General features: G+C 39.2%; 2 long non-coding RNA genes across 6 annotated transcripts in view; one reads left to right on the forward strand and one right to left on the reverse strand.

The window, feature by feature from the left end:
• Positions 1-22,595, forward strand: part of LOC105379364 (uncharacterized) — a 535,736-nt gene that overhangs the window by 398,867 nt on the left and 114,274 nt on the right. For 2 of the 5 annotated variants that reach the window (NR_189605.1, NR_189607.1), the window contains one exon: positions 12,341-12,511. The exons of 2 other annotated variants lie outside the window; for them this stretch is intronic. This is a non-coding gene — a long non-coding RNA (uncharacterized LOC105379364). Of the gene's footprint in view, positions 1-12,340; positions 12,512-17,519; positions 17,588-22,595 lie in introns of all 5 variants that reach the window. One more of the 5 variants, NR_189609.1, reaches the window with a different exon arrangement.
• The window catches only part of LOC105379366 (uncharacterized), a 38,081-nt gene continuing 31,392 nt past the window's right edge, over positions 15,907-22,595 (reverse strand). The window contains exons 4-6 of the long non-coding RNA XR_001745705.1: positions 18,326-18,447; positions 17,502-17,569; positions 15,907-16,827 (exon numbers count right to left, since the gene is read on the reverse strand). This is a non-coding gene — a long non-coding RNA (uncharacterized LOC105379366). The remainder of the gene's footprint in view (positions 16,828-17,501; positions 17,570-18,325; positions 18,448-22,595) is intronic.

The following is a 22,595-nucleotide window of genomic DNA, read 5'->3' on the forward strand; positions in this document are numbered from 1 at the left end:
AATTTATAAGGAAAAAGAGGTTTAATGGACTCACAGTTCCATGTGGCTGGGGAGGCCTCACAATCATGGTGGGAGTCGAAAGGCACATCTTACATGGTGGTAGACGAGAGAGAATGAGAAGCAAAATGGGAAACCCCTTATAAAACCATGAGATCTTGTGAGACTTATTCACTACCACGAGAACAGTATGGGGGAAACTGCACCCGTGATTCAATTATCTCCCATCAGGTCCCTCTCACAAGACATGGGAATTCTGGGAGCTACAATTCAAGATGAGCTTTGGGTGGGGACACAGCCAAACCATATCAGGCTGTAATTCCTTCTCAGTCTTGTTTTCTGTTCCCATACTTTATGTATTTTTAAAAACTAACCTTGATAGAGAAAAATGAAACCAATGAGGAATAGTTCTGTCTTCTCTCTGCCATTCTTAGGGTGTATAATATTGTGTGGAATGCACCAGTAATTATGATTTCTGTTGTTCTAGTTATATGGTTTCTTCTTCATTCTTGTCCTCTCTTTAGGCCCATAAGAATAAAATCAACCAGCATGAAATCAGTATTCACATGTGGGAGTGAATGTGGGCTGGAGCTGCCTGAGGTTTATGGGCTGACCATCATTGGTACTGAGCACACACATAGAACTCTGCTTCTGTAACTCACTCTTGACTCTGACGAAGGCCTCTTTCAGACCCTGCAATCAATCACCTGGCACTGTGAGCTGTGGACTAACATTTCCATCCTGCAGGGAAGGGCCAGGACCACCAGACCTGTGTTCGTTTATGCAACATAAATCTGATTATATCTGATGTCTATCAATAAATTAGTTTCACCTTGTTTCTCAGTTTCTTCTATCAGGAAGGGAAAGGGACTACCAAAACTGTATGATTGTGCTTCTGTCTAGGCATCCTTTTTTTTTCCTTCCCAGAGAAGATCCCTGGAAAAGTACCTTTACTTTGCTTGGGGCACGGTTTCCTTGAATGTCACCACAAGTCTGACTGAAGAAGACAAAAGAGTCTGGTTTGGATGAGAATGTCTCCTGTGCTATTTAACTTTTAGGCCAATAAATGTCCCTGGATCCCAGCTGTGGAGATGGATAACACATACGTTTAGCTTTAACCTGCAAGCTGTTGGGGGCAAAGAGCACAGGAAATTCAATTCCAAGCTTCAGTTGTTGCTGATCAGACTTGACATGTATGCCTGGACAATAAGATTTGTGACCTAAGCAGAATAAATGTAAGCCTAATCCCAATTAGCATGTATAAACAGTTGTGCTCCAAGCACTGGGGCTCAACTTTGTACTCCCTAAATACAGGGAAGAGACTGGAGCCTAGGAGATGTTCTAGTTCCATCCTCCCTCTAGGCGTGTTACTCAACCTTGCTAAACTTCAGTTTTATTACCTACAAACTGAAGATAAAAGTAGTATCTGTCTCATGACTTTGTTGAGAGTATTAAATGAGAACATAGCATGCAATGTATCAGCACAGGGCCTGGTACATAGTTTTTAATAATAGAATAATAATAGTAATAATAACATATTAACAATTAATAATAAATATGCAATGATATCTTTTATCTATATCCCTGGATACCAATAATAAGAATATCAATAATAAACATTTTTATCATTATCATCATTATCAAGGGCCAAGAAGTGAGACAAAATGTATCATTACACACACACACAACTGTTTTTCCAAAGACCTAAAAGAAAGTCACAGACGTGAAGTCTTTCTGACTCTCACAGAGATATTTTTTTCTCTTTCTTTTTCTCAAAACAAAGGCAGTTTGTTTAATCTTTTCTTTGTATGATAACATTAAATTTATTTTTCCCTCATGTATGCACCTAAACTAGATTATAAGCCACTCTAGGACAGAGGGTGCCAATTAGATGGTTATGCATGAGGGTAGGTATGGACAGACACAAACAAGTTAGAAGTCAGGGTGGGTACCACCATTGCCATTTTGAAAAGGAGCTCAGGAACTTCCTAGGGGATGAGACCATTTGAAGAATGAAAGAACTTTTTTTTAATGTCCGGAAATAAATCCTAAAGTCTTCACTTAAAACTCGCATTTCTCGGTCCTTTCCCTCAACATTCTCTCCTGTAGCAGTGACACAGCCAGACCATCATTTATTCTGATGGAGGAAGAAGCCATAGATTTTTTTCCACATTTATGGACCTGTGTGTATTAGGGGTTAATTGAAGGTTATAAATCTTCCAACTGAGTCTCAATTTAATGTAAAATCTATAGTCACTTGTGAACAATCAATAATGGAAATATTAGCTAGTAATAGTAGTGATCATAGTAATGAAAATGTAACGAGTGGTAATATATAACTTCCTAAATCTTTTACATGCTAAAAAACATTGTATACAACACTTTCCATTTTTTAGCACATTTAAATTTTACAATAAGCCTATGGTACAGGTAATTATTTCACTATATATGAAAACAGATTCAGAGGTTAGGTAAATACCCAAGGTCTTTTTCATTCTTAGAAAATATTTATGGAGTACCTACCATGTGCCCTAGAAATTGGGGACATAGCAGTCAATATAGCAGTGAAAAATCTCTGCCTCTTGGAGCTTACATTATAGCAGGAGAGGCAAAGGATAAACAAAATAAATAAAACATATAATAGATGCAATATGTGCTAAGGAGAAAAATAATGCAGGCAGGAGAGTTCGGAAGTGTCAGAGGGAGGTTGCAGTTTTGGATGAGTGGCCAGGGAGGGCCTAAGAAAATGACATTTGAGTAGAGACCTAAAGAAACTGAGGGAGCCACCCATGCATGCATTTGGTGGAAGAGCATTTCAGGAAGTGGATAAAGTAAATGCAAAGTCCCTATATTAGGAATATTCCAGGAGTGTTTGAAGAACATACAAGAAGCCAATGTGACAGGACTGAGCAGATGAAATCAGAGATGTTACCGAGGGCTAGATTATGTAGTAAGACAGGATGCCTTTGAGAATTCGAGTGGGGGAATGAGACAAACTTTTCTATATAATTTTAATTTTTAAAAAAAGTTGGGTTAATTTTAAAGTTAGGGAAAAGTTGCAAAGATAGCACAATGTTCCCATAATTTGCTTAGTTTCCCCTAATGTTGACATCTTATATGACCATGATACATTTGCCAAAACCAAGATATTAACATTGTTACGTTACTGTAACCCAAATTGCAAACTTTATCTGGACTTCACCCATGTTTCCACGGTTTATCTGTTCGAAGATAACATGCTGCGTGTATTTATCGTGTCTCCTTAGTCTTTTTGGGTCTTTCTTCAATATTTTCTTTTACTTCAAGACTGAGATTTTTGAAGAGTACTGGTTATGATGTAGAATATACCTCAATTTGGGTTTGTCTAATGTTTTCTCATGATTAGTCTGGGTTTATGATTTTGGAGAAGAATGTCACAGAGGTAAGCTGCTCTTTTCATCACAACATATCACAAGATACATAATATCCAGACGATGTGTCACTGGTTATGTGAACCTTGATCATTTGGTTACGGTGGTATTTGCCTGATTTCTCTACTGTAAGGTTACTATTTGTCTCTTTACCTTCTCTATTCTTTGGATTTGGGTCACTAAATCTAGCCCACACTTAAAGGGAAGTGAATTAATTTATACCTCCCTGACCTACTTTTTAACAGATTGTTCTGGCTGTGGTGCTGAGAAAAGTCTAGGAAACCATTGCACAAATCTAGCAAGAGATTGTGGTGGCTTTGACTGGGGTAGCACAGTGGAGGCAGGGGGACATAGTTGGGTTCTGGATATATGTAAAAATACAACCTAATAGGATTTACTGACAGATCGGTTGTGGGATGCAAAGAGGCGTCAAGGATGATTCTAAATCCCTGGAAATATGGAGGTATTTGCTGAAATGAGGAGCAGTGCAAGATGAGGTCACATTGCTAGTAAGTGTGGGGTAGTGAGAGTGTAAACCTGGTTTACCTGATCCCACAGCCCAAACTCTCAGCTCCTGTGCTCCTCCATTTATGTGATTCACTCACATCATCTGGGGAGTATGTTCTGGCAGAAAGCATAACAAAAGTTCAAAGTATGCTTACTTTGAGTTTATTCCTCCCCATTTTGTAGCTGATCTTCGCCAGCAAGACCTTTCTCCAGGTGTTTGGCCAGGGTGTGTTTACTCTTGCTCAGCAGGTACATGACAGCTTTCCAGTAACAATACCTAGGATGGGGAACATTTGGGGACAGCCATCTCCTATTATGATCATCATGGACTTTTATTGGATTCCTTTATTATCTTGCTGCAAATGCTGGCCTTTTCCCTGCATTAAACAGGGAAACATTTTATTATCATTGACAAAATTATCCAATAACACATGCCCTAAAGCAGTCCAAATTAGTCAAGGTTAAGGGATGTTCTGTGATTTTCAGCACTAAAAACTGATGTTGTTTTAGAGATGTTTGGCCACATTGGATGAGCTCATTTTACAGGCTAAAGGAAAATGATGTGGAGACAGATGTTCATTTATACATCTTACAACCCCTCTTCTTTTTCATTTAGTTTTTGTCAATTTCAGTGGGAGCTCTGCTGTAAGATGTTGGCTCCCCTGCACTTGGTTACAGGCATGTGTATTTGAGATACTTTCAGCTAACCGTGGGCGTGTGCTGGTGGTTATATAGCTGCTAAAATATTTTCTCATAATATTTAGAATAACATCTAACCTCCTCATTATGGTAAGCAAAGTCCTGCAAGATCTACTGCCTACTTCTCCATTCTCACAATATTTCAGCCAGAGAAGCCTACTTTTTGCCCTAAAACTGTCAATCTTCCCTACCTCAGTGCCTTTGCACTTTCTTTTTCCTTCCAACTTAGTTTAGGTTCGGGGGTACATGTGTGGGTTTTTACATGTGTAAATCGTGTGCAATGGGGGATTGGCATACAGATTATTTCATCATACAGCTAATGAGCATAGTACCAGATACGTAGTTTTTTGATCCTCAATCCTCACCTTCCCACACTGCTTCCTCATGTAGGCCCTGGTGTCTATTTTTCCCTTCTAAGTGTCCATGTGTACTCAATGTTTAGCTCCTACTGATAAGTGAGAACAGGTGGTATTTGGTTTTCTGTTCCTGTGTTAGTTTGCTTTGGGTAATGGCTCCATCCGTGTTCCTGCAAAGGACATGATCTCATTCTTTTCTTTTTTTTTTTTTTTTTTGAGACACAGTCTCGCTCTGTCACCAGGCTGGAGTGCAGTGGTGTGATCTTGGCTAACTGCAATCTCTGCTTCCTGGGTTCAAGAAATTATCCTGCCTCAGCCTCCCAAGTAGCTGAGACTACAGGTGCATGCCACCATGCCCAGCTAATTTTTGTATTTTTACTAGAGATGGGGTTTCACCATGTTGGCCAGGATGGTCTTGATCTCTTGACCTCGTTATCTGCCTGCCTCAGCCTCCCAAAGTGCTGGGATTACAGGCATTAGCCACCGCGCCTGGCTGATCTCATTCTTTTTTATGGCTGCATAGTATTCCATGGTACATAGTATTCCATGGTACATGGTACATCTTCTTTATCCAGTCCACCATCAATGGGCATTTACATTGATTCTGTGCTTTTACTATTGTGAATAGTGCTGTGCTGAGCATACTCATGCATGTGTCTTTGTGGTAGAACAATTTATATTCCTTTGGGTATATACCCAGTAATGGGATTGCTGGGTCAAACGGAAGTTCTCTTTTAAGTTCTTTGAGAAATCTCCAAACTGCTTTCTACAGCAGCTGAACTAATTTACATTTCCACCAGCAATGTGTAAGTATTCCCTTTTCTCTGCAACCTTGCCAGCATCTGTTATTTTTTGACTTTTTAATAATAGCTGTTCTGACTGGTATCTTTTGCTCTATTGTAACATTTGCCTACAGTCCTTGTCCCCGGTGCTTTGAAGAGCTCATTGATTTAAATTTTTCATATTTTAGTTAAAATATTACCTTTGCAGAGGGGCCATTTTTTTTTTCCTACCAGATCTAAAATTGAAATGTTCTGGTATTGTCTCATACAGCAAACACTTCTTTTCAACATCACTTCCTAGTATAAGACCCTGTTCATTTTAGTTCTAGCACTTTGAATAATCTGAAATTATTATTGCTTATTTCCTTGATCTCTTGATTATTTTCTGACCACTTCTTCTAGAATACAAGCTTGTTAATGGCAGGAGCATCACTTGCTTTTTCACTGCTGTATCTTCAACAATCGGAGAAAATGCCTCAAAATAATTAATCAACAAATATGTGTTAAGTGAATGAGTTGTGTGTCCTAAGAGTTTCCTGAAAAAAGATTGTAAACAGTTCACTTCATCACGTTAAACAGGAACAAATGGAAAATGTATCCTATGGTAAATAAACTGCAGGAAAGCCTTTTGATTTGAGAATTCAAAATATGTGTTTTGAACTGTCAGAACAAGTGGCTAGTGTGGACTGGAGCAAGATGTGGATAAGAAGAATCTAGCAGAAGCAGATCAGAATCAGGCATCTGAACAGAGCTAGTGCATTTCCACCAGCATGCAGTAGCCAAGTCGCAGACTACACTAATTCCCAAGAGATTAGTTTCTGTGGACTGGCTCTCTTTCACACATCATACACCCAAAGATTCCCAGGTTGCTTTATCATGCAGTTCCCGGAGGGGTTGTCAAAAAACAGAGAAGGAGAGGCATGAGGATATTTTAGAAGCCAATTATCTTTAAAAGTTTATTTATTCATTTCCATTCCAGTCTCTGTGGAGCAATGGCAGAATTCTCCAATGGGTACTTGATTTTTAAAGATGAAAAATGAATAGGAATCTGGGCATCTCAAATTAGGTTTCAGAAGCATCTGATGCATAAAATAATAGTGGAAAAGTATATAAAAAGACCTGCGTCTTCTGGCCAAGTGTGTTTACTGTATAAAATGAGCAACCAAAACCAATATCATTTTGTCCATTTACAGGCTGCAGCATTTGGTATTAAGGCTCTGACAGTGCCCTTTTCCTTGGAGTCCTCAGCCTTTGGATTTGTATCAAATCAGATAAATGTGAGCCACAGAGTTAGTGTCCAGTTATAATTCTCAAATATATTATCTGGATCTAAAATCTATTTAACCTTGGAAGGAGGCAAAGCCACTCAAAATTCAGAGGCAGGGGGGCACTGGAGGAGTTCTCTGTGAGTCAGGCTGCACCTCCAGCTAGATGCCGGTAGGAACAGGGAGGTATGGGAAAGGAAGGAGGACCTGTGGCCCCTCGGCCTAATTTAGGTTTTCTAAAAGACTAAGATAAAATTTGAGTATGAATAAGCCAAAATGTGAGACTATTTTAGCAAGAAAATTTGTATCAAGGAGCAGAAACAAATAATAAAAGGGGCCCTGCGCTATATTCGTCTAGCAGAGGCATCTCAGGTTGATTTTACCCTCATTAGTTTTTGTTTATTTTGCTCATTTTCTTTTTCTTTAATTCTGTTTGACATTCAGTCTCTCCTTGAGGAGGAACCCTTTTTTTTGGGAAAAAAAAAAAAAAAAGGTGTTATGCCCCTTTCCTCCATTTCAGTGCCTGATGCAGAGTAAATAACAACAAATTGATTCTTTCTTTTCACTTTCTTTGGCAAAATAAAATAAAAAAGTACTTTTGCTTTTCTATATTCCATATTCTGATTTCCTTCCAACCCAAAGGAAATTTTTATGACATTTCACTAATGTGTTAATGACTGCCCAAACCACAATTGTTCTTAAGGAGCCAAGTGACAAGAATGAAGAATGGAAAGGGACTTTGGGAATGATGCTGTGGAGTACAGTCACTATCGTATTTGCTTGTAAAACACTTTGGCCAGTAGAGTCTATGATGAAGGAGTCAGGAATAAGACAAAAAAATGTAACATTTAGTGGAAGTTTTATGTGCCTCTTCTAGCACATTCTGCCTCCCAGAGATATCCCACTGCCTTCTTCCCTGTGTTTTCTTCAAGGATGTGCCGTACTTGTTATGACTGATGCTGAGCCAGCTGACAAGCCAGCAGGGAGGGCCTGACCTGACTCTGGGAAACTCTGTCTCCCCACTCATGGAGCCAATAAAATCCTCCCAGTTCTGCAGAAGATAGTAGGTTACCTGTGGCCTGCTGGGTTCCGTGTCAAGGGTTGGGACACATGCAGAAAAATAAATCTAATTGTCAGCCACAGTTCTTTCCTCAATCTTCCACATCTACCAGGGAAATCAGATCTGGCAGCTCAAGTGTCCGAGACTGGTACAACGTGTACTTTCTGCCTCATCATAAATTAGACTCTGGGAGATGTAGACAGAGGAGTCAAAGAAGAAACAGAAGGAAACAGTAGAAAAGGAGAAAGTCAAGGAGGAGTGGTCTGGGATGAGTGATCAGACAGAATCTGAGTCTCCCTTTTTTCCCCTCTTTTGGATGTCTGTACAACCAATTAAGTAGTTTAGGTGCATTAATGATACTGTATCAACAGCAGAACTGAGCTGGGAGTCACCTTTGGAGGAAACCCGAAGTGTTGCAGCCTGCCTCCTTGCTTCTAAAATGAGGGAATTAACATAGGGAGAGATGTGGCTATGCATGTTTTATCAGATCCCCTCCTTCTAGCAGGGATTAGAAGAGATTCAAGTTCATTAATGTGTGTATTTTATGAAATAAGGTGCATCTTTCACCTTTTTAACTCTCTGTTAGCTGCTCTGTGCCGTGAGAAGAGAGAAGCAGCAATATTGCATGCTAATTTCTGTCATAGAGTGAACCTGAGAACTGGGCCACCACTCTTGGGCATGGCTGTGGGTGGAGGTAAGGAACCAGCAGGAGCAAGGGGAACTAAAGTCGTGAATATACATGGGCTCTGGCTAGGAATTAGTTGGCTCAGGAATTACTCAAAGTCAAAACTATCTGAGTAGATTCACAGAGGCCTTGAGGCAAAATTTCAAGCAGAAGGGCTTGGTCTTCAGGTGATGGCGAGCACCACTTTTTTGACAGAGAAGTTGCTCTGCCAGTTCCAGAAATCAGGTTGAAACTGTCCTTGTGAAATTAATAAAAGTTGGACTGGAAGCATAGCTAAGCATTAACCAGCTTGCTCTATAGCCCACTTCCTTATAGCTGCTTACTGTTTAGAAGTCACATAGCCCCTGTCATAGAGTCCTACCTTCTATAGATAACATCGTTAACATTAAGAAACCCCAAATTTTCCTTTTGATATATTTTTTCAGATCCTGCATTCCAATGGGTCCACTGACGCCAGCCAGTCTGAAGACCCCCGCTGAAGAACACACTCAGCACGGGAATGCAGTTTCTGTTTTATTATGATTTCATGCCTCATGCTCAAGCCAATCAGCAACACCCAGACCCTCAGCCCACTACCCACCAGAATTCCCTTTTAAACCCCATGCCAAAACTCCTTGGGGAAGCATATTTGAAATTTCTCCCACCTCTTTTTTTTTGGCTGCCATTCAATTATTAAACTGTTTCTCTACTGCAACTCCTGCTGTTTTGATGTATTGGTATGTTGCTGTGCAACATGCAATTGAACCTAGTGGTCCTATAACAAGGCATGGTGTTGGCCCTGGTCTGAGGCTTTTCACCTGGCCATGAGTCTGGCTAGACATTGTGGGCATTTAGCCTCTTGCCCTCCCTTAGAGCTGGTGGCATTCTTATCAAAAGGCAGACTTCACATTTCGGCCTGTCTTGGCCCTTTGAAGAGGTGCTTCTGTCACCTCTGAATCTGGAAGGCGATTTTTTTTTAATTGGAGACAGGGTCTGGGTCTGTTGCCTGGGCTGGAGTGTAGTGGTATGATCTCAGCCCACTGTAACCTCCACCTCCTGGGCTCAAGCCATCCTCCCACCTCAACCTCTTGAGTAGCTGTTACCACAGGTGCCCACCACCACACCAGGCTAATTTTCGTATTTTTTGCAGAGACAGAGTTTTGCCATGTTGTCCAGGCTAGTCTTGAACTCCAGAACTCAAGTGATCTGCCCATCTAAGCCACCCAAAGTGCTGAGATTACAGGCGTGAGCCCCAAAATCCAGCCTGGAAGATGATTTAAAAATGTTTTCCTATTTTATTTTGTTTTGTTTTATTTATAATGTCAAGTTTTATTTTAAATTCAGGGAGTACGGACAGGTTTATTAAAAGGGTATATTGCGTGATGCTGAGGTTTGGGGCATGATTGATCCCATCACCCAAGTAGTAAGCATAATACCCAGTAGTTACTTTTTCAGCCCTTGCCCCTCTCCCTCTCTCCTGCCTCTAGTAGTCTCCCATGTCTGTTGTCCCCATCTTCATGTCCATGAGAACCCAATGTTTACCTCCCACATGTAAGTGAGAACATGTGGTATTTGGTTTTCTGTTCCTGCATTAGTTCATTTAGGATAATGGCCTCCAGCTGCAGGCAGGTTGCTGCAAATGACATAATTTCACTCTTTTTTTGTGGCTGTGTAGTAGTTCTATTTTTGTGGCTGGTGTATATGTACATTTTACTTATCTAGTCCACTACTGATGGGTATCTTGGTTGGTTTCATGTCTTTCCTATTGCAAATGTTGCTGCGATGAACATGCAAGTGCATGTGTCTTTTTGGTAGAACCATTTATTTTATTTTAGTTGCTGTGTGAAATGGTAATTCTGTTTTAAGTTCTTTAAGAAATCTCAAAACTGCTTTCTAGAGTTGTTGAACTAATTTACATTCCCACCAGCAGTATGTAAGCATTCTGGTTTCTCCACAGCTTCACCAACATCTGTTGTTTCTTGACTTTTTATTAATAGCCATTCTGACTGGTGTGAGATGGTATCTCACTGTGGTTTTGATTTGCATTTCTCTGATGATTAGTGATGACGAGCATTTTCTCATGTTTGTTGGCCATATGTATGCCTTGGTTTGAGAAGTATCTGTTTATGTCCTTTCCCCATTTTTTAATGACATTATTTGTTTTTTGCTTGCGGAATTGCTAAAGTTACAGATTCTGGATATTAGAACTTTGTTGGTTGCAGTTTCCAAATATTTTCTCTCATTCTGCAGGCTGTCTGTTTACTCTGTTGATAGTTTCTTTTGCTGTGCAGGAGCGCTTTAATTTAATTAGGTCCCACTTGTCAATTTTTGTTTTTGTTGCAATGGCTTTTGAGGACATAGTCATTAATGCTTTCCCAAGGCCGATGTTCAGAATGTTGTTTTTTGGAAGGTGATTGAGCTGCAGTGGCAAGTGCCAGCCCTGTGTTCTTCTCTGAAAGCGTACATTTTCTCCTCTGAGGATGGAGACCCTGAGTTGGGGCTGTGACCAGGGTGAGCCAAGTAAGGCATTCACAGGGCTGCCCCAAAACCCAATTATCAAGACATACAGGATTTTAATACAGTCATTTTAAAAATCAAAATTAATGACGAAAAAGTCCATGTGAATAAATTATCAAAATTCTCAATAAGGATAGGCTCAATGTTCCTAATTTTTCTTTTGCCTTTGGCTTCACTGTACAACTCAACTGGGCACTTACTCTGACTACACCATTCTGAGGACAGAGACTTTCTTTCTTCTATATCCTCTCCTGGGACAGAGGAGAACATAATCAATCATGTACTAGCTGAGCCAAGGCTGGAGGTGAGAGCTTATGCCCCCAAAGATCCGTTGTACTAACTAAGCCTGTTGCTGAGAGCAACTTTTTAATTAGTTGATCATGCCCTACTCTACCTCACAACTGTATGGTTCCTAACTGTGTATAAAAGGGACTAGCTAAGCAGGAATGTACTGATGCAGCTAAAAATAGTATTAAGTCATTATTGGAGGAGTTTTCTCAGCTGTCTCAGGTGGCAGCATCACCTCTTTTGGTAGGACTTTGAGTGTGACACAAACAAGATTACTGTGTCTATCAGGTTTTCACTATTGAGGCTACTCTCTGTGACAAAGGTTTGAGTCCCCAAGAAAGACATTTAATGGGGTCTGGTGGATTCTTTCTTTGCATTGTACCTTAGACGGGGCTCTGGCCCTTGATACCCAACCTTTTTTTCTGGTACAGGATCTGAAGCTCTTTTAAGTTAAAGTGTAAATGATTAGTAATCTACAAGTACTTCTGGGTAACAGCATTAGCTTAAGGCTTTAATTTCTGCCAACAGTAATGGTAAAATTATAGGTATTGCCCAAGGAATATGAAGCAAAACCGTTGTTCTTTCCATTGGTATAAAAAATAGACATGGTATTTTGATGAACTGATTTTATTTTATTTTTTGAGGAGGGTTACACTGTCATTTGTTGAACTTGTTGTCTCTCCTCAATGCTCTGTATCAAGAAATACCTTTGGCAGTAAAAAAACTATATACAGTTAATTCTTGAATAATATGAATTTGAACTGCATGGATTCCATTTTACATTTTTTTCAGTAGAAGTTACACGGAATATGTCTGCCTCTCCTGTCTCACCTCCTTCACCTCTTCCACCTCTGCCACCCTGAGACAGCAAGAAAAACTCCACCCTTTTTTCCTCTTCCTGAGCCTATCAACATGAGGACAATGGGAATGAAGATTTTATGATGATCCACACCCACTAAGTGAATAGTAAGTATTCTTTTCCTAGTAATTTTCTCTTTTTTTTCTTTTTTTTAAATTATACTTTAAGTTTTAGGGTACATGTGCACAACGTGCAGGTTTATTACATATGTATACATATGCCATGTTGGTGTGCTGCACCCATTAACTCGTCATTTAACATTAGGTATATCTCCTAATGCTATCCCTACCCCCTTCCCCACCCCACAACAGTCCCCAGTGTGTGATGTTCCCCTTCCTGTGTCCATGTGTTCTAATTGTTCAATTCCCACCTACGAGTGAGAACATGTGGTGTTTGGGTTTTTGTCCTTGTGATAGTTTGCTGAGAATGATGGTTTCCAGCTTCATCCATGTCCCTACAAAGGACATGAACTCATCATTTTTTATGGCTGCATAGTATTCCATGGTGTATATGTGCCACATTTTCTTAATCCAGTCTATCATTGTTGGACATTTGGCTTGGTTCCAAGTCTTTGCTATTGTAAATAGTGCCTCAGTAAACATACGTATGCATGTGTCTTTATAGCAGCATGATTTATAATCCTCTGGGTATATACCCAGTAATGGGATGGCTGGGTCAAATGGTATTTCTAGTTCTAGATCCCTGAGGAATCACCACACTGACTTCCACAATGGTTGAACTAGTTTACAGTCCCACCAACAGTGAAAAAGTGTTCGTATTTCTCCACATCCTCTCCAGCACCTGTTGTTTCCTGACTTTTTAATGATCGCCATTCTAACTGGTGTGAGATGATATCTCATTGTGGTTTTGATTTGCATTTCTCTGATGGCCGGTGATGATGAGCATTTTTTCATGTGTCTGTTGGCTGCATAAATGTCTTCTTTTGAGAAGTGTCTGTTCATGTCCTTCGCCCACTTTTTGATGGGGTTGTTTGTTTTTTTCTTGTAAATTTGTTTAAGTTCATTGTAGATTCTGGATATTAGCCCTTTGTCAGATGAGTAGATTGCAAAAATTTTCTCCCATTCTGTAGGTTGCCTGTTCACTCTGATGGTAGTTTCTTTTGCTGTGCAGAAGCTCTTTAGTTTAATTAGATCCCATTGGTCAATTTTGGCTTTTGTTGCCATTGCTTTTGGTGTTTTAGACATGAAGTCCTTGCCCATGCCTATGTCCTGAATGGTATTGCCTAGGTTTTCTTCTAGGGTTTTTATGGTTTTAGGTCTAACATGTAAGTCTTTAATCCATCTTGAATTAATTTTTGTATAAGGTGTAAGGAAGGGATCCAGTTTTAGCTTTCTCCATATGGCTAGCCAGTTTTCCCAGCACCATTTATTAAATAGAGAATCCTTTCGCCATTGCTTGTTTTTTGTCAGGTTTGTCAAACATCATATGGTTGTAGATATGCGGCATTATTTCTGAGGGCTCTGTTCTGTTCCATTGGTCTATATCTCTGTTTTGGTACCAGTACCATGCTGTTTTGGTTACGGGACCCTTATAATGTAGTTTGAAGTCAGGTAGCATGATGCCTCCAGCTTTGTTCTTTTGGCTTAGGATTGACTTGGCAATGAGGGCTCTTTTTTTGTTCTATATGAACTTGAAAGTAGTTTTTTCCAATTCTGTGAAGAAAGTCATTGGTAGCTTGATGGGGATGGCATTGAATCTATAAATTACCTTGGGCAGTATGGCCATTTTCATGATATTGATTCTTCCTACCCATGAGCATGGAATGTTCTTCCATTTGTTTGTATCCTCTTTCATTTCATTGAGCAGTGGTTTGTAGTTCTCCTTGAAGAGGTTCTTCACATCCCTTGTAAGTTGGATTCCTAGGTATTTTATTCTCTTTGAAGCAATTGTGAATGGGAGTTCACTCGTGATTTGGCTCTCTGTCTGTTATTGGTGTATAGGAATGCTTGTGTTTTTTGCACATTGTATTTGTATCCTGAGACTTTGCTGAGGTTGCTTATCAGCTTAAGGAGATTTTGGGCTTTTCCCCAGCTTCCTTGTAAGAATGCAGTATATAACACATATAACATATCAAATATGTGTCAATGATTGTTTATGTTATTGGTTAGGTTTCCAGTCTACACTAGGCTACTAGTAGTTAAGTTTTTGGGGAGTCAATAGTTATACAAAGAGTTTTGACTGCATGGGAGGCTAGTGCTCCTAACCCCTGTATTGTTCGAGGGTCTGTTGTAGTAGGTGGTCTCAAATTTTCTTACTGTAACAATAAGAAAATGAAAAGTGCATCAGAAATTGTGGATTATTTCACATGTTTCTCTCAGACCTTGAAATAACTCTGTGAGGTAGGAAACACCATTCCTACTCTATGGATGAGAAAACTGAGGTTGAGAAAGGATAAGCTATTTATTCAAGATCATACAGCTAATATTCAAGTGATAGCATTGGGACTTAAATCCAGGTAAGCTAACTCCACACTCAGGGCTTTTTCAAAAACTTGGACTTCTTAAAAGTCACTCTGATATCTTCTGAGTTCACTTATCCCCACAATGCCCCATCTCCATCCAGAAAGCTATTAGATATGACTCCTTCTGTAAATGGTAGCCCATTGAGACAGGAATGGCTAAATAATACCCTGCATCAAATGTGGTTTGCCCCTGAGCCTTCAGCTTTATTCAGCATATTGGAAATATTTGCATAGATTTTCTTCCTCTAGCAGTACTGGAGAGTGGTATTTCTGTCACAAAAATGGCATGTCATACTCAGGAGAATGAGTCTGATGAGAATCTGCCCTTGAGGTACTTTTCTGTATTCAATTTCTGAGTCTGGTGAGGCTGACCCTTGGGACCCTTGTGAATTCCCATAAAGCTGGAGTCATACTGCATTCTTGCCTGGACAGCAGCAAATGCGTTGTGTGCATGCAGCAAAAGTCAGAGCTATAAGAAAAATAAACCTTATAGACTCTGGCTAGTATATAAATTAACTATCATATTTTTGGAAGCATCATTTGCCCTGAAGCATTTCTCTAACTATGCATTAACAAGCTGGGTCACAACAGAAGTACACCACAGTAATTAGTGGGTCCAACTCATAGCTGACCGAACATACCTTATTGGGGAGATTATTTGCTAAATTTGGTTTTCTTGCACTCAAAAGGAAACTTGTCTCTTCTACTGTCCTCCTCTTTGAAGAAATTGAATGCTAAACCCAGAATTAGACACCAAACCAAGGATTCTTGGCTTCAGTATGTTCTGATATTAACCAGAGTAGCAAACCTAGGTCCAAATTACAAGTTTCTGAAAGGTAAAAACAGAAGAATTAAAAAGGTGAAAATGTAAAAGAAACAGAGAGATGAGACAGAGAGGAAATTGTAGAAGAAACAGAAGAAAAAGAGAGGGAGGTAACTTAGAAATCAACTAGCTGGGGGAGGAAAAAGGAAGGAATTACCTCATGCTTTATTGTTGGTGTCCATTAACAAATAAAGGATAAGGGTGTGGCATTCCTGCAATGTACACAAGGGCGTCTTCCTCTGAAGGACACACTCAGAGAGAGGAAGAAAATTCACAGGAAAAAGACCAAACACCAAGACACTGAAGATTTGAATCCTCCTACTCTACAGTAGGTGGAGACACTGTGCCTTTAACACGCTTGATAAATAAATTCTTCATCTCTTTAGAATTATATTGTGCATTTCTCCCTCATAACAGTCCCTTTCGTAGCTATAGATTTTGCCATTATTCTCTGCATGTATATGGGGTTAGTTATTGACTGAATTATTTTCTAAGACTTCAAAAGAAAACAGTTTTATAAAAGCAGAGGAACATTCTTGGAGCTATACTGCAGGGTAATTAGTGGTAACAGCAAACTGTGCTACCATATTTCCCCCCCATATTTCTTAGTTGTGTGGAGTTCTACTTAAATCCTAGTGATGCATGAACAACTTGAATTGTTTTCTCTTTTCATTATTTAAAGAAGTGAAGAAAGTCTCCTCCTTGTATTATCTAAAGGAAAAGTGCATTAATTGATCACTACCGATTGATGATCTCAACTGTTACATTTTGAGCATGTATGTGTGCGCATATGCGCATGTAGTTACACACACACCACATTAAGAACAGTCACCCTCCCCTATTTCCAGAGCATGATTTTCTCTTGTTTCTAAAACTTTGTGGATCTCCTGTTTCTTGCTCTTTTCTACCGTTACCTGTCTTTCAGATTTGTCTAACCTTCAGACTTGGTTGTATACATTTTCTGTTAAAAATAAAAGTGACTGCTCGCACCAGTCTTCAGAGTCCTCCATCTGCATTTCAGCTGGCTGGATCAAGTGGCTCTACCAGGCTGACTTAGTTTGAGATATTTCGGTTCCCATCAACTTAAGGCTTTGTTTTTTCAAGACTTGGGAAAGTATCTGGATGGTTGGAAACAGAAGCAAATTGACAGCAACACTCAACACATACTCTGTTATTACAAAAACTTGCTTACGACATCTGTCATAGAGTTTGTCTTTTTTCTTGAAGTGCTTAGTGCATTTGTTAAAAAACATAAAATTGTAATGTTACTCTTGAGCCTCTGCCTGCCCAAAGAAAGATCTTTTCAGTATTAATAGTAGAAGGATGAAAGGAATCTCTTAAATTTACTAAAAGTCTTTCCACTGTTTCCTATCTTTGGATCTTTGTTATTGCTCATTTTTAAATACAGACAGAAAGGCATTGTTTGGGTAAAAGGTAGCAATTTGGCTTAGAGGAATTTTCCTGGAAGCCTGATTTCTATAACAGGTTCCTCTGTTTAATAAGCTAGGTTAGACTTTAGCCTCAGGATAGGCAGTAAATGAAACGTCTCTCCTTGTCTCTCTCCTCTTCCTCTTTCCACTTCTCACCCCCTTTGCCTATCAACTTCTTATTTATCCTTTCTTGTTACCAATTATTTGTCTAGTCCATTTCTTACATTGTTCTTTTTCACGTGATAACAGGTTTCTTCAATCTACCTGACTGAGAAAGGGGATTCTAGAAGCCTTTCCAGACACAATAGACAAAACAAACAAACAAACAAACAAAAACACAGTCACAAACAGTGATGTCTTACCTGTCTTTAACTATCCAGGCCACAGAACTGCCAGCTCCTTTACATCCTTTTTTGGTTCCACATGAGGCCTGAGAGACATGCATTGGGTGAGTAAAAGGGGCACGGATGTGGACCATCTTGATTTATTCCTCCCCTAGACTATCTTCTTGCTGTTGATGCCATCACAGTTACATATTCCAGTCACTGCTGCAGCTGTTGAAGTTTGTATTAACATTATCTGATAAGATGGCAAGCATTTAGACTTAACTATACTAACAAGGCAATTGACATCTGAGTAGCATAAATTTTTACCAGAATTACTGGTAAGGTTATTTGAGATTGTTACATTTGAAAGATATGAAGTAATCAGTTTAAATATGGTTTAAGATTTAAATATAAAATGTAACATGATAATTCTCAAAAGAGGCTTTTAAGCAAATAAAATCAGTGAAGTGCTGCAACAGGGTCATACCAGCTAGCAAGAGTTGATTGTCACATTTTTCAGGAATTTTGAGAGCTGGTTGTAAAATACAGACATTATTCAAAATTAAATTGTGGAAACAAATATATTAAAATGGTAGTAAAAAAACTTATTAATTCATAGTTATTTTGCTATATTTACTAATATCTGTGCTTCTGAGGTTATTTAAAGCTATTGTTTTTGTATAGTGAAAACATTATACAATGTACTAGAGCAAATCTCTTCCCAACTCTGTGTTCAGTTATGTCACATTATGGTTTCAAATTGGCCATTGTGGGTCTATTTATAATACACCACAGAAATAGGAAAGTGTTACAATCAAGCCTTTTTTATTCCTCGTAGAGTTGGTTGTTAAAACATTTACCAGCACGCCACTGTGTATAATTATACTTGTCCTATAGATGAGAAATCAGAGGCTCAGAAAGTGAAGAAATCTTGCAAGATGTAGAGGGTTTCAGTGTTCTGCCATTATTGGTCCTGGGACACCTAAAGCAGGATGAACATTTGGGGAAGAGGAATTCCTTTAGTAACTCGAATCTCTTCTTTCTTCTCCCCACGAAAACCTATAAACATGTCATTTCCACTTTCACCATCTTTAGTCCAGTTCAATCCCCAGCTAGTGCAGTGTATTTTGGGATCTTCTGCTCACAAATGTCACACCCCAACAAAGAGCCTCAATGTCTTAAGTTACATCAGCCCCAGATAATCACATACTAATTTCAAGGGTGACTCTGGCTTTCAGATAGATGAGCCTCAGAACATCGTGAGAAATTTGGGCACATTCGAGTTTGTGTGGGTATAGAATGAGTATGGAGGGAAAAAAAAAGGTAAATAGGGAAAAACATGAAATACATTTGTTAAGCCTGGGTATATGCAAGTCCATATGTGTTGAGGGTTGCTTATAATGACAAACTTTACGTCTGTATTCTTGCTCAGGATGGATCCTGGCTTGGACATTTTAATTTTGTAACAATAATATGTAAGGGCATCCTTCAAAAGGACATTTAAGGTATGCTTGCTGAGAATCCTGTAGAAGACTCTCAAATAGTTACCAAGTAAATGCCATTATTATAAAGTTTTTACAATTATGATCATAATCACCATTAACCTCCTTCCCATTTGTAGTATACCTTATATTTTTTAAAAGTGCTGTACATATTTTTACATTTAAACTAGATAATGCTTTTTTTTTAAAAAAATTGTTCAACAGTGGATACACTAAGGTCCAGAGTGAATAATTTACCCAGAATTGCACAGATAACCAGCTTGATAAGAAACTTGGCATTGGTTTTAAATGTCAGCTCTGAAACAAGCATTTAGTGAACAATTACTCTGTGCTAAACACTGTACTAGCTGCTTTACATACACAATATTATTTGGGTCCCTCCAGATAAGTATTATGTCTTATATTTTATAGATGGGGAAACTGGAGCATAAAATAAGTAAATGATTTTTCCAAAATCTTGTAGCACGTTAGTGTTAGAGCCAAGTGCTAAACCCCAACTCTGCCCGAATTCAGCATAGATGTGCTGCACTATCTACTTTAAGCTAATAGGTCCAAACCTAGATGACATGCCCTTTCCTAAAGTTACTTCCATTAGTGAGCAAATTCACAAGAGCATTGCCTGCCATGAAGAATATATCTGTCTTTCTAGTAAAGTGCTTTTGGAATTTTTTTTCCCTAGTGAGAGATTTGGAAACTTAGCATCACAAGAAAAAATAAATAAATAAAAAGCAAGGGAAATATCAAATGACCTTAGTTCTCTGCCCTCAAATGCTGATGTTTGGTCACCAGTATTTCTCGGTCATGAAAAAGTGACCTATAGACATACACTTTATTCAATTGGATGAAGTTTAAAATGCAAACACCAGTGTGTCTCTGTATGACATTTAGTGTTTCATTTTCTACTCCATGGATCCTTGCTTCCCAAGAGAACTCTTCAGGCAGGTTTCTATGGAAATACAAGCCAAATGCTTTGAGGGTATAATAAAAAAATATTTCCACTTTAGCCCATGGGACCCAAATGTGTTTGTTGCTGTAAAATATAGAACTTTAAAGACAAGCACAAATCAGAGTACAATATGGACCCAGTTCTATATGACTACAAGTTCTTCAGCTCCAAGTTACCTTGGGGAAGAGTGTTCATAATCCTAAATCTTGATTGTTTTCAAAAGAAGAAAGTACCTTCTGCTGTTCAAAGTAGCTTTCTTAGAATTAAGCAGTAGGAACTGTCAGGGAATGGTGAGCTCGTGGGTAATGGACCAGGTAATTTTCCGGCTTCATGTATTGTTGATAAACCTGCATTTATTTCTAAGTCTTTTGAGGGATCATTTTGGTTTTTGAATTTTCTAATGGGAAATCACATCCTCCAAACACCACTTGATTTTTCTAATATGAATCAGTCACACCATAGTGATGTTCTGGTTCCTGTTGCTGTATGAATTCTTACTCCAAAATTTAGCAGCTTAAAGCAATCATTTAATTTTGCTGACAGATTTCTGGGTCAGGAATTCTAGAAGGACTTGACTGATAATTTTTACTTGGCATCTCCTGTGAAGTTGTAGTCAGATGTCAGTTGGGGCTGGTGTCATCTGAAGTCTTTTTTTGTTTTGTTTTTTGAGTCAGGGTCTTGTTCTGTCACCCAGGCTGGAGCACAGTGGTACAAACAGCGCTCACTGCAACCTTGACTTCCTGGACTAAAATGATTCTCTCACCTCTGCTGCCCCTGTAGCTGGGACCACAGGCATTAGCCACCACATCTGGCTAAGTTTTTATTTTCTGTAGAGACAGGGTCTCACCATCTTGCCCAGGCTGGTCTCAAACTCCTGAACACAAACAATCCTTCCACCTCAGCCTCCCAAAGTGCTGGGATTACAGGTGTGAGCCACCATGCCTGGCCTGGATGTCTTGACTGGGCTGGTTGTATGAGATGGCTTAATCACATGGTTGGAAGTCAATGCTGACTATCAGCTGGGAGCTCAGCTGGGGCCATTGAACAGAACACTTATATGCAGCCTCTCCAGTACAACAGCCTTAGTATAGTGAGGCAGCTTATTTGATGCCTGACTTCCCCTAGAGTTCATGTTCCAAGAGAATTGGGGGGCTACTTGCCTGGTCTTTTTTTGACCTGGCAGTCATACAGCATCACTAATTGTGTGTTCTCTTAGTCACAAGCCCACCCAGATTCAAAAGGAAGGGGCCCAGATATCCCTTCTTGATTGGAGAAATATTAAAGGAGTGTCTTCCCCCTTCTTCGTGATGAGAAAAGAATAAAATAATTTTTGATAACATTAAAATGTATTTTAGAGTAGTAACAGTTATATCAGTTTGCTATTGTGGCACAATTAACCATGATAAAATTAAAAATAAGAGGGGCCACGAGTGATGGCTTATGCCTGTAAGCTAAACACTTTGAGAGCCTGAGGTTGGAAGACTGCTTGAAGCGAGGAACTCAAGACCAGCCTTGGTAACAATACAAAATAAAAAAAAAAAGGAAAAAAATTATCTGAGCATGGTGGTGCACCCCTATCATCCAAGCTACTTGAGAGACAGAGGCAGGAGGATCACCTGAGCCCATCCAGAGGTTCCACACTGCAGTGAGCTATGATGGCATTAACGCACTCCAAGCAGGGCAATGGAGCCAGACCCTGTCTCTAAAAAATAAAATAAAATATGAATAAGAACCATTTGTTTAGCTCACCATTCTGTGGTTAGTAATTTAGGCTGGGCTCAGCTAGGTGACTGTTGCTCCCTCGTGCGTCTGTAGTCAGTTTTATGTCAGTTTTGCTGATCTTGTCTGGTCTTTCTCCCTAGCCTGTTTCTATGGTGAAAAATTCTGAGAGAGTGTGGAAGCATGGACAGCCACTTGAAGGGTAGGCTCAAAGTTGGCAAGTTATTACTTCTGCTAGCCAAAGCAAGTGGCAAGGCCAGGCCGGGTTTCAGAGCCAGGGATAGAGTTTACCTCTCATGGGTGTTGCTGTACAGTCACTTTGTAAGGGGCATTGGGGATAGGGAAGGGAATAATTGCAGCCAATTAAAAAATAATATTTTATGATAGCTAACCTTTATGTAGTATGTGTTTCGTTCCAGAAATTCTTCTAAGCATTCTACCTGTATAGTTGATGTGATCTTCAAAACAACCCTACACATGGTTACTATCACTATTCAGATTTTATAGATGAGGAAACAAGCACAGAGCATAACTGACTTGCTCAAAGTCACAGAAATATTAAAGGAGTAAAATAGTATTCATACCCAGGCAATCTGGCTTCAGAGTCTGTGTTTATAACTACTAAATTATACTGTTAATTTTTTTGATATAAATTGCATCATGGTAGGTAATTAAGGAGTACTTATTATGAGATATGAACCAAGGGTTAAATGTTCCCAGCATACCAATATTTGGTTATTGCTGGGTCTTTGGACCATTGAACACAATCTTTTAAGCTGTTTTTTTCACATAAGTGATGTTCAAGTGAATTCAGCTTGTATTCTTAAAGCTATAAGCAGATTTTATTACATCTAAAGGTAGTATGGAGGATTGGCATGATCACAGAGTTTCAAAGTAGAACTTGGTACTTGCTTTTGTAGTTTTATTTCCTCATTTATCAAATAAGGGGGTTAGACTGAATAA

The sequence above is a fragment of the Homo sapiens genome, chromosome 8, assembly GCF_000001405.40.
Source record: "Homo sapiens chromosome 8, GRCh38.p14 Primary Assembly".
Classification (NCBI taxonomy): Eukaryota; Metazoa; Chordata; class Mammalia; order Primates; family Hominidae; genus Homo; species Homo sapiens.